Raw genomic sequence first — 15,492 nt, 5'->3', positions numbered from 1 at the left:
GACTCTGTGCATATTTGCCTACACCTTGAGTGTCATATTTAGCTCATGATTCTGTAGGTTGTCTGGGCAGCTCTTCTGGGCTGGGTTGTCCCGGCTGACTCCTGTTGTACTCTTGCCAATGTACATCTGTGGGGTGTCTTGTGACTGGATGACCAAAGATGGCCTCATTCGCAAGTCTGATGGTTGGGCAGGTTGTTAGTTCTTATCCATGTGTCTCTCATCTTCCAGCAGGATAGCTCGGGCTTGTTCACATGGTTATCTCCAAGTGCAGCAAGAGGGCAATGCTAAATGCTTTTCAAGTCTCTGCTTACATCATATGTGTTGATATCCACTGGCCAATCAACAGAGTCCTATGGACAATCTCAGAGTCAGGTCTGGAGGGCACTACCGGGGGCGGGCTTGGGTTACTTCCTTATCATAGGTGGCCACGGCACATATTCAACAGCTCCTTTAATGGTCAGCTTTCCCTATATTTTCATTTGACTTTTAATTCAGTTATGAGATTAACCAATTTTGAGATTATAATATTTTATTTCATTAATTTTTTTGAGATAAAAATCTCGTTCTGGTACCCAGGCTGGAGTGTAGTGGTGCAATCACAGCTCACTGTAGCTTCAACCTCCTGGACTCAAGTGATCTTCCCCGTCAAGCCCCACAAGTAGCTGGGACTACAGGTGTGCACCACCAATGCCCGACTAATTTTTTAAATTTTTTGTAGAGAGAGGGTCTCACTATATTGCCCAGGCTGGTCTTAAACTCCCGGGCTCAAGTGATCCTCCTGCCTTGGCCTACCAAAATGTATTTTTTTAATTAAAAAAATAAAAAATAAGAGTAGCCTTTGGATCCCAACCAGATAAGGACTCTTCTCACCTGGCATTAGATCCCATCATTCTTCACTCAGAAGGGTTGTTTGTCAGGCATTTCCTTTTTCTGTGTGCCTTGGCTGAAGATGTATGAGGAGCTCACATCAATGTGGTTGTTGTTCTGTCAATGAACAGACCAGAATTTGCAAAACAAAATCATGTGGAAGCAAGGTCACTCAAGGTTGGTGAGCGATACTTCACTCCCTTAGGTATGCCCTATATTTTACCCATGATTACTCCTGAAAGTAAATTTTTGGATTAAAAAAATGGACACATTTTAACAAATGTGTAACCAGTAACATTCAACAGGAGGGGTAACCCAAAGAAACTCTTTATGATGCCAAATGTAGACCCAGGTAGTAAGTGCCTTCTTTTTCTTTCTCCCTGATTAAGCGCAAATATATATATATATATATATATATATATATATATATATATATATATATATATATATATATATATAGTCTCTTCTTGAGGAGTAGCAATGTTCTGGTGCTTTCCCCATCAGGAGGAGCAGTTTCTGCTTATGTGCCCTTGTCCAAAACTTGAACGTGTATTTTAAAAATGAGACACCCCCACCCCACCTCTCCCAAACACACAACCCTCAGACTTTACATTTCCCGTTTTCTCTATGTTGAGTCAATGTACCTACTAGTTGTGGAGCTGGTGTTCAGGAATAAATGATACACTGTCCTCAGTCAGCTTTGAATCTGAAGTCTGGGTCAGCAGTTAGGATCAGAGCAGGGGGTGGACCCAGGTCACCTGCACACAATAACATATTTACTCAATGGTAAGCTGGTTTGGGCTATTACTAGAGCAAATGCCACCTGGTTCTGGAAACATGGCAGGTGGCAAAATCCTTGCCTATGTTTAAGGACTGGCTTGGGAAGTAGGGAAAAGACTGAAGCTTAGACAGGCCAGGCAACTGTGGACTCTACAGCCCTCAACTATCCTGGCAGAAATGAGCCAGTGAGCTTAAGACCTCAGTCTGTGACAGACAGCTCCTTATTTGTGAGTAGTTAATGTTTCTTAGCAAGCACTTCTAAAAGAAATTGGTATGTAATGACAGCACTCACTGGAAAACAGGCCGATTAGAAAATGCACTAACTTATCTGGTATTCATTTGAAAAGTAAATGGATGCACGGCAAGGTGAGAGTTCACTATCAATTCAAATATTTTCCCTTAACGGGCTCTAGCACTCCTGCTTTAATTCAAGCAGAAACACAAGTATGAATAATCAAACTAGATGACGCTCATCAAGAACCTTTGTGCCTTCCACCATTTCAAATGGTCATTGAAGCTTAATGGCAAAAAATTTACATTCTTCCTTTAATTTGTATTCTATTCCTTCCTTCTGAGTGATGTGATTGTGGCTTGCTGTTGCCTGCTGTATTATTTTGATGCAAATGCTATGTTGTGTGTAGCTGAGTCCAATTTCCTGGCTTTTGCTAGCAAGAGGAGTGACTGTGAAAATAGTTGAAAATCAGGGTTATTTAAAGAGTTTATAACTACTGCTCCTAATGAGTGAAACAATGCAATTGATGAGCCCACTGTTTGGAGACACCTTGATGGCCCTAGGTTAACAGATGCCCACAAAGGAAAATAAAATCAACAGGAAAAAAAAAATCACTGTTTGCTTGTGTCTGTTTCCCCAGCCGGAATATTAGACTTTATTCTGGCTGCTGTCTACGAAAGAATTAAAAAATTTGTAATCCAAGCCAAACTCCCCTTCTTGCGACATACTCACCCGGGAAGGAATGCTTTATTGAGATACGGGGGGTTGCTCGCCAAAGACTGCAAACACAGGGCCCCAAGGGCGATCCTTGAACGTAATGTATGCACAAACTAATTTATGGTACTGTGACTAATTTCCATTTCTTGTGCTTAGAGTTGCCTGGCTAATTACAGGGATGTTTTCTTAACTTTAGTAATTACGCTCTGTGCTTTCGACAGGCAACGGAGCAAATGAGTGAGGGCGGATTGTGCAGTATTGGAGACAGGCACGTCCAGGAGAGAGGGGAACGCGCGCGGCCCTCGCAGGGCCGGCAGCCCTGATCACAAGCCTCGCCAGCTTTGACCAGCGCCCGCAGGCTGCATCGGAAGCATCTGGAGAAATATTTGATGGAACACCCCGTAATTAGATGGACTGGCTTAATTAGGAGAAGTTTGCGGGCAGAGGGAAGCCGGGGGGTCTGTGCTGGGATCTGAAGGTTTGCAGCCTCGTCCCAGGAGGCCCGGGGCACAAAGCTCTGCCCGCTGAGCGCGCACGCGCTGCTGTGTCTGCACATCCAAGGCGGCCCCGTGGGGTCTGCGAATCCAAGCTGGGGGCCAGGGGCCTGCCCCCCGGCAACAGCATTGCCAAAACGACAGCAGCCACGCTGCATCATCCGATGCCCCCACCGCGCGTGTAGTCTAACAAGGCGGACAGGATGAAAACTCGATGCAGTCGCCCTGTGGAAGCTGGCTGTGGGAGGCATTTTTCTGAGACTGGGAAGAGGTGGGTAGTGGTGGTGGGGATGAAGGGACCGAGGTATTTCACTCATTATCTAAGGCCCCCTGCCCCAGCACGGAATTCAACATTCCAAGCAAGCACTTTGCTCTTTAGGAACCAAGGTCATAATTGTCTAACCCCATCAGTCAGGGCTTTCAAGCAAACAAACGCCAGGCGCTGCCCATAGAATCAGGCTCCCCAGGAGGGCAGAGAAAGGGGGCTGGGCAGGGGCTGTGGGCACATCTTGGAGATATCTACCCACTGTTTGGAAGCAGGTGTTTACTAAACACTTACAATGCTCAGGATTCTAGGTATTGTGGCTTGAGCACGCACAATATGAGGGAAGAATCGGACGGAACGTTTCCACCATCTGGAACCACAGCAGCCAGAAGCAGAAAGGAGAGGTAATTGTCACCAAAGCATCACAAACTCTCCATGTTTACTTACTCTGCTCACACTTCTGGAGACATCTTCTCTTCCTCCCATATGGGGGGACAGCAAGGGAAAAACTGAAGGTGCATGTGAGCGTGAGAGAGTGTGTGTGAGTGAGTGTGAGTGTGTGTGTGTGTGTGTGTGCGCGCGCGCGGCAGGGTAGAATTGTTTTCCCTCAGCTCAGAGATTTTTGCTTTCTGGAACATCAAGGCTATTTATTGCTAACATACTATTAGAAAACATGAGAAGATATCAATAATTTGTTCCCCCTTTAGCAAATTAGAATGATTCTCCTTCCTTATGAAGATGAGGTGATTTTTGTACACCAGGCCATTCAAGATATAAAAAATGATCTGTCCCCTAAATATCTCATTAGATATAAACATTTGATGAAATGCGCTTTAAGGCACTTGTGATATCAATTTTAAACTAAGCCAACCAGGTAACCTGCATCAAAACAGGCCACACCAAGCTCAAATCTGTTGTATTGTGAATGCACCATTGAAAAACATGAATGGACTTTATTCTGAAATTCTAAAAATGATTTTCAAATGCATTTGAACAAAATTCTTCACAAAATAATGAAACCTACATCCGAGCTACTACTAAGTCCCCTTTTAAAGTTCGGCTTCTGAGTTAAAGAGTGAATGTTTCGGAGGATATCACCTTTAGTAAAGGAAAAATAACACAGTAGAGGGAATTTGCTAGTGGCAGGAGTATCTGCAACATTGCAGACATCATACGGGACATTCGCAGGGCAAATATTCCTGACAGTATGGCTTCCTAGTCACCTGAGAAAGAAGAGGTATAACCAAATCCACAATGTTGGCTAGAATTAGCTCATGCAGTGCCTAAAATCCCAGTCAGCCATGACGGAATGGAGGCCCTCTCACTGTTGGTCCTGTGTTCCTCTTAGAACAGCCCTCACTGAAAAAACGTCCTTCTTTCATCTGTTCAAGTGAGGCTGATGTGCTTGCTCATGTGATGTGGAAGAAAGGAAAGCAACAAGAAATGTAATTATTTTGACACATTCTTTAAAAAAAGGTTATTATTCCTACTTAATGCAAAGTGGTTTACACTGCCATTATGAAAGAGAGTCCACCGTCCTTGGTCTCTATACTGTGAGCGCGCCGAAGATTCAATGCCAGACACAATCGGCAGTCACTAATAGTTTGATGACAAACTGCGGGGAACGATCATCTCAGGGCTCTGAGAAGTGTGGAGGTTCCCTCCTCCTTCCAGCATTCTGTATGCCCTACATTTTACCCCCTTTTACAAGGAAAAGCTTATTTTTACCATGTGAGACGGAGCAAACAATTTTGAGGGTCCCATCCCTCATGATTCTATTGTTTTCTCCCCAAGTGACTTATTTATCCTGGAACACCATTGCATGAGGCCTAGGTGGTGTGATTCTTTTGAAAGAAGTTCTGGATGAGAATTGCACCTTCGAGTTATCATGGCACTGTCCTGCCTGCTGCGAGAGCAGTTGTGGGTGCCTGTGAATCATTGTGTGTGAATAGTTGCTCCTTTGGGGGAGAAATAGGCTCGTTTCTGTCCCATCCCATTTTGTCCCGAAGACGGTTTAATGCTAGGAGATGGACATCTTACAAACCCCAAACTCTGCTCAGCTTCGACCCACCCTGCAGCTACAGAGGGGGCTCAGATGTTCCACCACAAAATACCATTTGCGAGCAGGAGATCAAAGCCACTCTGATAACTCACCCGTCTTATCATGCTCCTCGGGCATCCGGGGGAAGGAAAGGATCAAAGTCATAAATAGAGGCCATATCACTGATGAATAATTTACATGCACAGTAGGTGGGAGTGAGTTAGTACATAAAGGTCCCTTTGAAGAGGAGAAAAAAAATTGCTGCCTTTCCTAGCGAACACTGGCTTTGGCAGAAGCCCATAAGAGGGAACCTTTTCACGAAAGGATTTAGCTTTGCTCGGACCATGGCCACAATGCTCTGAGAGTCATATATGCACACTGGGGCAGGCCTAGCAGGCTCAGAGGGCTTTTAAACACTCATTTATTCATTCATTACCCAAGTGGTGAGAGCGCTCAGACTCCATAGCTGAGTTAATAACTCCAGCCAGAAGCCTGCAATGAAGGAATTCCAGCATCCCTGGTTTTCTCATCATGATAACTACCTTTCCCTACTGTGTCCACTCTCATCTCTAGGGGTTCTAATAAAGTTATTTTAAATTAAAGACAGGCTTAAAACTCCACCAAACCAAGAGATTCATACCAGATTTTCCCGCAGAGTAATAATTATATTTGGAACAAAAGTGCTTTTAGGTATATGTGTATCTGGATTAAGTGAGGCTGCTGGTATTCTACTATAAATGGAAATTTCATCTCCCTTTTCAGGATGTAGGCATAACAATTGGCTTTTGAAAGCAGTCAAATTCATGTTTCTGAAAAGAGGAAAAAAAGCAGAAAGAAATAAAGATGCATTTAGCTTTTTACTCGAGAGCAGGCACGTTGTTCTCCCAGTCTGCCTTAATTTTGGATGCTGACATCATTCATGCGTTTTAAATTATTAGATTGATAATCACTTCCTTAAAATAATTTCAGCAGTCAGCTACGATAAAATAGATTTCTTTCAAAGACTCCTTAGTTAAATGTGCTCAGTGCTACTTTCTGTATCATGCAGGTCAATTTAATTCAGCTCAGCTCCTCTACCCAGCTAAACAATTGCTTTTCAGTCTCTGGAGAGCGTGGTGAATACAGCCAAGAATACCCATCTAGAGATGGCCTTGGACACTTTTGCTCATAAAAACTTGACATCTGAAGTCCCACTCTTTATTAATCTCTTGTCAAAGAGTTAGTCAAGATTTCTGAAAAAAGTCAATGTCATATAAATCATTACTAATGATTCAATAATGAGTGAGATTAAAATGGAAGAATGCAACATTTTAAGAATAGCTGGTTAGGCGTCCTGTCTACAAGCAACTCCTCCCACGATGGCTCCACCTTGCCATCTGCAGCCTGCTTTTCTCTGTAGCTCCAGACTATGGCAAGTAGCCTCCCATTGCATCTGATGGTTTCCATAAGACCAACATTGCAGGTATCTGCATCTGTGTGTCTCTCTATCCAGGCATTTTCCCCATGCCTCGTTTTTTCTCTCTTATTAACATGGCCTTGCCACTTGCTTTACTTGGAAGGCATCTTTGCCTGTGTTTCTCCAGAAGCAGACCCTCAGAAAGGTGTTGAGTGCAAGGTGTTGAGTGGTTTATTTGACAGGTGACTGCAGAAAGTACAGGTGGAGGAGAGTGCAAGTGAGATAGGGAAGGGAAGAAATCAATATGTTTGCATAAGGAGCAGTTTACAGGTGTGGGCAACTGAGGCTCAGTCCTGCTGGGGACCTCTGGGAGGTAATGTGGGACACGTCTCAGACTTGTCCTACCCAAGGGGTGTGGAAGCTGGGGTATGTACCCCCAGATTTTGTTTGTCTTTAGTTGAGAGGCCAAGTATACCTCTTCAGCCAGAGAAAGCTCTCTCTGAAGTTGCTGGCTCACACGAGAATAGTGAATGTCCAGAGGAAACGGAAGGGGCACCGACTGCCTCGGCCACACCAGGCAGGCTGAACTCACACATACAAGGTGCTCATACAAGATGCTCACACCTGGCTCCATACCCAGCGTGTCACTAACAGGCTGTGTGTGACTTCCAGAAGTCATGTACCCTCCTTGGGCCTGTGTGGTATGAAATTGACTAAAGGATTCTTTGGAGCACTCCAAGCTCCCACAGGAGTCCATGGTGGGCTCCCTCATCCTTAAAGTACTGCGCTAAGGCCTCCCACCAAAGCTGCCCATCATGTGATTGCCCCACAGCCCTGCTGTCCATGTGGGTTGGGTCCTGGATCCATCTCCCATCCTAGAATACAGTTGGTTGGATGAGTGACCACCTGATCCTAGGAAACCAATCAGAAAGTGGGTCAAAAATATTTTGTGACTTGATTTGAAAAGATAAGCTGGGCCAGAGGGCTTTTTCCAAGGATCTGAGCTAAGAAGCAGGGAAAAGGTGCCCCTGAATGGCGGGAGCATCTGCTAGAAGTTCATAAAGTAAAGTAGAACTTTAGCTGAGAAGAGCATGATAGAATCAAGGTTGATGAGGTCAAGCATATTTGAATGACTGACACAATGCCCAATTGATTGATTTATCTCATTGACCCAACGCTGCAACCCCAGGGCTTAAAATAGCACCTAGCACACATTAGGTGCCAAGTAAACATTTGCTGAATCAATGAATGAATTTGCTGTACAAGCCGAAGTAATGGAGGAGCAGTAACTCTGGGTCACTAAAGGAAGCCAGGTGGAGAGAGAAGAGTCAGCAGTGAAATTCATTCCTTGCAAGTCGTATAATACATACATAAATAGTTAACCCATCATATAAATGATCCTAGATTACAACTTCATGTAATAGGTACTGGATTGTCCATTTTAACAGATAAGGAAGCAGAAGCATGGAGACATTAAATAACTTTTCCAGAACAACACTGTTAGTACCTGGTGGAGCCAGGCTTTGACAGGCTGTCTGGCTCCAAAAGGGTGCTCTTAATACTATGTTTCCCCTATATTAAAAGCCGCAGAACTCCCTGCATCCAGAACAGGTCCCAAAGTCAACTGCTGAGAGGTGCAACTCTATTTCCTATAGACATATTCCATTTCTGGCCTTAGATTTGTTCCTGACTGCATCCCTCTTCTGTTCCAGAACATCCCTATGATAACTTTTTCCCTAAAAAGTTATTTTAAGGAATAACTTTTCCTGAAAGAAAGTTTCTGGAGACAGCCTCAGTGGATCCCATTTCTTGCAATCAAGGAACAATATTAAAACAGAACACAGATAGCATTGAATATGCAGTCCTGCAGCTCCCTCCCAAGTGTTTTGCATGTGGCCTGGCCTGGGTTCTTTGAGAACCACCCCAAATGGTATAGTCCTGATGTCAGAGGGTGTTTGCTGAATAAATTCTGAGATAGTCACCAGAACCTGAGTCTCTAAGTCAAGTACCTTAGGCATATCGTTGTGTTTTTGTTGTGTAAATAAACCACTTCAAATTTTAGTGGCTCAAAACACCAGCACATTTATTTTGCACATGAGTCTGCAATGTGGGTGGAGGCTTAGCAGGTGTTACAAGCTGACTTGTGTCCCTTGAATAAATTCATGCTGAAGTCCTAACCTGCAGTGTGTCAGAATCTGTGTTTAGAGACAGAGATGAGTTAGTGAAAACAAGGTCATTAATTAGGGTGAGCCCTAGTCCAATATTACTGGCATCCTTATAAGAAGAGAAAATTCAGACATAGGCAATGACAGAGGGTGACATAAAGACACACTGAGAGAAGACAGCCATCTCAAGCCAAGGAGAGACACTTGGAGCCAATCCTTCCCTTCCAGTCCCCAGAGAGGACCAATTCCAGCAGATACTTTGATCTTCAATTTCTGGCCTCCTGAACTGTGAGAAAATAAATTTCTGTTGTTTAAGCCACCCAATCTGTGGTTCTTTGTTATGGCAGCCCTGGCTGACTAGTACTGCAGAGGTAGCTCATCCATGCTGTACGTGGTGTTAACTGCGGCAGCTCAGAGGCTGGGGGCTAATTCATGAAAAGACTGCTTACTCACACCTCGGATGGTTGATGCTGGCTGTGGGCTGGACCTCAGCTGGGGCTGTTGGCTGGAACACCTGCCTGTGACCACTCCACTTGCCTGGGCTTCCTTACAACATGGTGGCTGAGTTCTGAGAGTGGGGCCTGTCAGGTGGAAGCTGAACCCATTGTGACCTAGCTCAGAAGTCACTCAGAGACACTTCTGCTGCATTTTATTCATTAGAAGTGAGTCCAAAAGGCCAGTTCATATTTTATAGGAGGAGAATTAAACTCCACATTTTTCGAAGGGATGAGTGTCAAAAAATTTGCAGGCATGTTTTAAGATCACATTAGGCAAACAAAGCAATATCCTTGCTTAAGCAAGGGCCTCAAGATAGCATAATTCACGCTGTCTTGGACTCCCACCAAGATTCTTTGTAATTTGTTCACATGAGTACAGTTTGAAGAAAGGATGCTCCAAATGTGTGCATAAGGGACATCACTGTCATGTGGCCAATGTCCATTGAACTGGACATTGCCAGATATTTAAAGCTAATACAAACCACAGAAAGCGTGCAAACTCTAGCATTGTTAATTCATTGAACTGTGGCTATCTCAACCTCCTCTGTTGTAAAAGGGCATCCCCAGGTGATGTTTGAACGGATGGGTCACAGGAAATTTAGCCATTCAGAAATTGGCAGTGCCCTGACTCCAGCCCATGGAATTGGTTCTTTAAAACCAATCTGTCAGAACTTGATAATGAACTGAAAGATCAAGGTTGATATGACATTCTACAGGCAATATAGACAAGTGAATTGCCCATGGATAATAACTGGTAATACTTTACTAAGGTTTTACACATTGAAGAAAAGGTGATGGGAAGCAGACAACATGCAGGGGCAGGAATTGGAATCAGGGTGCGTAAGGAAGCAAACTCGGAATGCTTTGGATGTGCAGCTTGTCCCTGGAATAGCTTCTGCCTCTGACTTCACAGCAAGAGGGAAGTTTGTGGGTGGGGGAGGAAAAAAGAGCTGTCTTCTATCAACCTGGGGGCATCAGCTACTCCTTCACCTTTTCTCCAGCCTCTCCCACAGCAGTATTTCAAGGCAGCCAACTGGATAGTTGGGGACTACTGTATGGATATTCCCTCACCAAGCCAATTTCTCCTTTCCTGTGACAGGAAGACTGGAAGCTGCTATATCTTGAGAAATGAATGCTACTTATTCTTTTAGGGGCACCTGCCCATGGCTGCGAATCACCAGGACACCTATGACTCTCAAGAAGCATAAAAGCTCATGGGTACTTGGCCTATGCCATGGGGGTCAAATAACTCTTATTACAACAGAGGTAAGATGCAGCATGACAGTGGGAAATGTCATTAGGGAGGCATGTGGTGTATGCATTAAGCAGTGTTCTTCACCATGGACATGGCTGGGAGGGCAAACTTGAGAAGTGAGAGCATCGTAGGCATTCCGCTGGTTCCAGACCTGTAATCCCCAGTGCAAAAATCTCTTTCATCTGGGCCAAGTCTTTATACCTACCAACAGTAGCATTGTAGCATCTTTGCTCTGCTCCTCTTTCATACTCCGCCTACATCAGCAAAAGGACAAAAGATAGAGGGAACATAATCCATCATCAATGAAGTAGAAACTGCCACAGCATCACACCACAAACCGCCACATTCCTGGCAAACATAAGGAAATCGAGGCCAAGAGCACACATGCTGCCACAAACCTGAGTAGTGTAAGTACCTCTCCAAAAGCATTTCTCCACATCAAGAAAAACATATCCAAGGATTCTTAAAGGGTCAAGATCCAGTTTCATGGGCGGGCCAGGGGAGAGATGAGAATGTCCTTTGTCCACTGCTTATAGCGAGGTCAGGGATGAAGGGGTGGCTAAAAAAGCAGTGGCCATGTGGGTCTGTTTCTATTGCTTGTGACCTGGTCTCCTAGTCAAGGAAAACTTCCAGAGAGGAAGCGAGGGGAGGGGTGGGGAAGGACAATCAGAGCCTGCTCACAGCCCTGAAGGTGTGTACCCCGAAGAGCTTTGCTATTAGCAACAGTAGTCCGGGACACAAGACCTGCGATAGGATGCGTCCTTGTGATAAGGAAATTAAGGGATATGGGGGAATATACCTGAAGATAAAGTCAGCCTTGAGGTTATTGCACAAAACGAAATGGTAAAGTCAACATAAACAACAATTGCAAAGAAGATGATAGATATGGAAGACAAAGGAGACCCTCATATCCATGATTACTGTTTCTGAAAAAGAGAACAGGAAAATGGAATGAACTACTCAAAGATCTAATATATGCGAACTTTACTAAAATAAGGAAACATTGATAAAACAAAGTGCCCCAGGAAAAGATTATATACGATGATCAACACTGAGATATATCTTGGGGAAGCCATTGAACTCCAAGGTTAAAGAAAGAATCATAAGAACATCTAGGAAGAAATATTTTGTAAAAAAAAAATTTCAAATAAAGAAATATGTTTTAGAGACAGCATCTTGCTGTGTTGTCCAGGCTGGAGCATAATGGCGGGATCATAGCTCACTGCAACCTTGAACTCCTGGACTCAAACAATCCTCCTGCCTCAGCCTCCTGAGTAGCTGGAACCACAGGTGTGCACAAATGTTCCCTTCTAAGTAGAAACATTTCAACATTTAACAAATATTTTTTGAGAGCCTACTAAATGCCAGGCACTGCACTAGGCTCAGAGGGTTCCATGATGAACAAGATAACTAAAGTTCCTGCCCTCATGGACTTTTCCAGTGTAGAGTTTGGGGTGGGAGGTCTGGAAAACAAAAAATGAGCAAGTAAATGAATAGGATATTTAACATGATCTTTTCCCCCTAGTTGACTTCCTATCTATATTTTGCTCATTTGAGTTGTGTGAGTCAAACACAGAGGTCCGGGATGGTGCTCACCAAATGCTGAAAATCATGATTTCTAGTCAGAAAGGTTTTGCTCTTTTTCTTTGTACTTTTAGGCATCACTTGAATATTTCATAATGAGCATGTATTTAAAAAGTCAAGATAAAAACATTATTCTAAAATCAATAAATAAAAGCATAGTGTCAGGGCCTATGGCATAATAAGAAACATATATTAGGTCTCTCCCCACTGGTTCCTGGCACAGAGCTTCGGAAACCTTTGTAACTTCCTGAGTGACTGGGGTGATAGGAGCAACTTTTGTTATAATATTTGTTTTTTTGTGCCTGAAAACAGAGCTTCTAAAATCCTTGGAATTTTCTGAATGAGTGGGGTGAGAGAAGTGTCCTTTTCATAACAAGCCCCTTTCAGCCATATCTGAGTTTATGCTAATGGGGTGACTCTTGGTGGGGCCCTAGATGGCTTCAGGATGGGAGTCGTTGTCAGAGGAACCCATCATGTGATTAGAGGGTTGGAACTTTCAGTCCTATCCTTCAACCTCCATGGAAGGGAGAAGGGCTAGAGATTGAGTTTAATAACCAATAGTCAACAATTTAATCAAACATGCATGTGTAATGATGCCTTCATAAGAAACATGAACACTGGGGTTTGGAGAGCTCCTGGGTTGGTCCCAGGAGGGTGATGCACCTGGAGAGGGCATGGAAGCCCTGAGCCCCTTCCCTATACTTTGCCTTATAGATCTCTTCATCTGGTTGTTCATTTATATCCTTTATGATAAACCAGTAAATATAAATAAAGTGTTTTCCTAAGTTCTTTGAGCCATTACAGCAAGTCATCGAACCTGAGGAAGGAGTCATGGGAACCTTCAACTTGTAGCTAAGATGGACAGAACTGTGGGTAACCTGGGTATCAATTACTTGGAGTTGGCATCTGAAGTGGGGGGCAGTTTGGTGGAACTGAGCTCTTCACTGTGGGGTTTGTGCTGACTCTGGGTCATTAGTGTCAGAATTAAATTGTGGGACACCCAGTTAGTGTCTGCAGAGAATTGGCACACTGCTTGGTGTAGAAAACCCACAAATTTGCTCTCAGAAGTGTTGTATCAGTAGAGAAAACAGTTTTTCCTTTTAGGGACAGTTGATTCCCTTTCCATCCCTGACCCGCTAATTCCTCCTTATTGCAATACGCTACAGCTGGGATGGCTGAGGTGGTGGATAACTTACATGTCCAGGCTGAGGCGAAATCCCAACACTTTGGGAGGCCACGGGGGGAGCGGATCACCTGAGGTCAGGAGTTCGAGACCAGCCTGGCCAACATGGTGAAACCTCATCTCTACAAAAAATACAAAAATTAGCTGGGCACGGTGGTGCACACCTGTAGTCTCAGCTACTTGGGAAGCTGAGGCAGAAGAATCGCTTGAACTCGGGAGGTGGAGGTTGCAGTGAGTCAAGATCACGCCACTGCACTCCAGCCTGGGTGATAGAGTGAGGCTCCATCTCAAAAAACAAAAACAAAAAACAACAATCAAACAAACAACAACAAAAAAACCATATATGTCTACAGATCATCTGGACTGAGCTAGAGGTGAGGAAATGAGACATCATCTGGTGATGCTATTAACACAAGGGTCACGGGAATAATATGTTGTTGTCTTGCCTTCTGGCTTTTAATTATTTATGAATAAAACCTTCAGGCCAATCTCTCTGTGCCAAGGATGGGGCCAGAATTCAGATGGGAGGAATCACAATCCGTTGCTATTGCTGAGATCAGAAAACAAATGCTGCCTGTAGCGAGCCAGAGAGCAGGGAGGGCTTGTAGAAGACTGTCTTTTTAACAGTTCCTTAGACACAACATGGGCCTGGCTCTCCCAGGAAAGCACTAAGTGTTTTGATGATGGAAACGAGGTTCGTTTAAGGAGCAAATGGTCATTTTTTTCTTGATGGCCTACTATGTGGCAGGTGCATCGTTTCACTTCAGAATCTTACACTATTTTATAGCGGAGGAAAGTGAAATTCAGAGAGGGTGAGTAAGTTGCCCAAGGTCACACAGCTACTGAATGGCAGAGTCAAAAACTGAAACCAGGACTGTCTGAAAAACTAGTATCTCTTCTCACTGAAGGGCCTCCAGACAGGAGAGACTTCTGCCCACAGAGGGAAAGTTTGCGGGATGTCCAAATCCTTCTGATTTTATCGTCAAACCAATTTAAGAGGGCAGCGGGAAGAGCAAAGACTTTGGTTGGTGTTGCCAGCGTCCCTTATAAATATCAGTCCACCAGTCTTGTAACACATAAGCCAATGGCTACGGGGTTCCTTCATGGCTTGAACCATTTGGGGAGCCAGAGGACCATGAGGCAGGAAGACAGTGGACTGGTCTGGCATATGCCCGGCCGCCTGTCTGCAGATGCCCAGGTTCAAATGCTCAGTGGGACATTCATTATTATATTTTCATTTCATTATTATATTTGTAATAATGAAAACTGGAAAGAAGCATAAGTGTACATCCAAGAGGGAATGGTTAAATAAACTGCAGCCCTACCTAGGCAATCATAGATAAGAATAATATCAAGCTCTATGTGCTCATGTAGAATGATCTCCAAGATATATCGGTAAGTAAAAAATCCTGGCTGGGCACTGTGATCATACCTGTAATTCCAGCACTTGGGAGGCTGAGTTGGGAGGATCGCTTGAGGCCAGGAGTTCAAGACCAGCCTGGGAAACACAGTGAGACCCCATCTCTATAAAAAATTTAAAAATTAGCTGGGCATGGTGGTGAATACCTGTAGTCCCAGCTACTTGGGAGGCTTAAGGCCGGAGGATCACTCGACCCCAGGAGTTGAAGCCTGCAGTGAGCTATGATGGCGCCACTGCATTCTATCCTGAGAGATGGAGTGAGACCTTGTCTCCAAAAACAAACAAAAAAACCCCAAGATGCAGACCAGTTTATTGGTTAGACTCTTATTTATTTAAAAATATTAGATTGATTGATATGACATTGCTACTTTTATAGATCAAACATGTTTCCACAGCGGCAATTTCATATGGTTTAATCTACTACACAGATGCTCCTCAACTTGAGATGATGTCCCAAAAACCCATGATTAATTGAAAATACCATAAGTTGCAAATGCACTTGATACACCGAATCTAGCAAATATCGTAGTCTAACCTAGCTAGACTACCTTAAATGTGCTCAGAACACTTACATTAGCCTACAGTTGGGCAAAATC

At 44.0% G+C, this 15,492-nt stretch overlaps 2 annotated features.

Annotated features, from left to right (window-relative positions):
* Nucleotides 2,737-3,695: an enhancer, noted in NCBI's record as "H3K27ac-H3K4me1 hESC enhancer chr20:21000384-21001342 (GRCh37/hg19 assembly coordinates)". NCBI's record gives its function as "activates a minimal SCP1, AML or CMV promoter by ChIP-STARR-seq in naive H9 embryonic stem cells {active_cell/tissue: H9 hESC(naive)}" and the evidence as "EXISTENCE:reporter gene assay evidence [ECO:0000049][PMID:30033119]".
* Nucleotides 4,799-5,998: an enhancer, noted in NCBI's record as "CDK7 strongly-dependent group 2 enhancer chr20:20998081-20999280 (GRCh37/hg19 assembly coordinates)". NCBI's record gives its function as "activates an origin of replication core promoter dependent on BRD2, BRD4, P300/CBP, MED14 and CDK7 cofactors, with strong dependence on CDK7, by STARR-seq in HCT116 cells {active_cell/tissue: HCT116}" and the evidence as "EXISTENCE:reporter gene assay evidence [ECO:0000049][PMID:35650434]".

This window comes from Homo sapiens, chromosome 20 (genome assembly GCF_000001405.40).
Source record: "Homo sapiens chromosome 20, GRCh38.p14 Primary Assembly".
Taxonomy (NCBI): domain Eukaryota; kingdom Metazoa; phylum Chordata; class Mammalia; order Primates; family Hominidae; genus Homo; species Homo sapiens.
The sequence above is the reverse complement of the archived record's forward strand: the minus strand, read 5'-3'. Positions and strand labels throughout refer to the sequence as shown.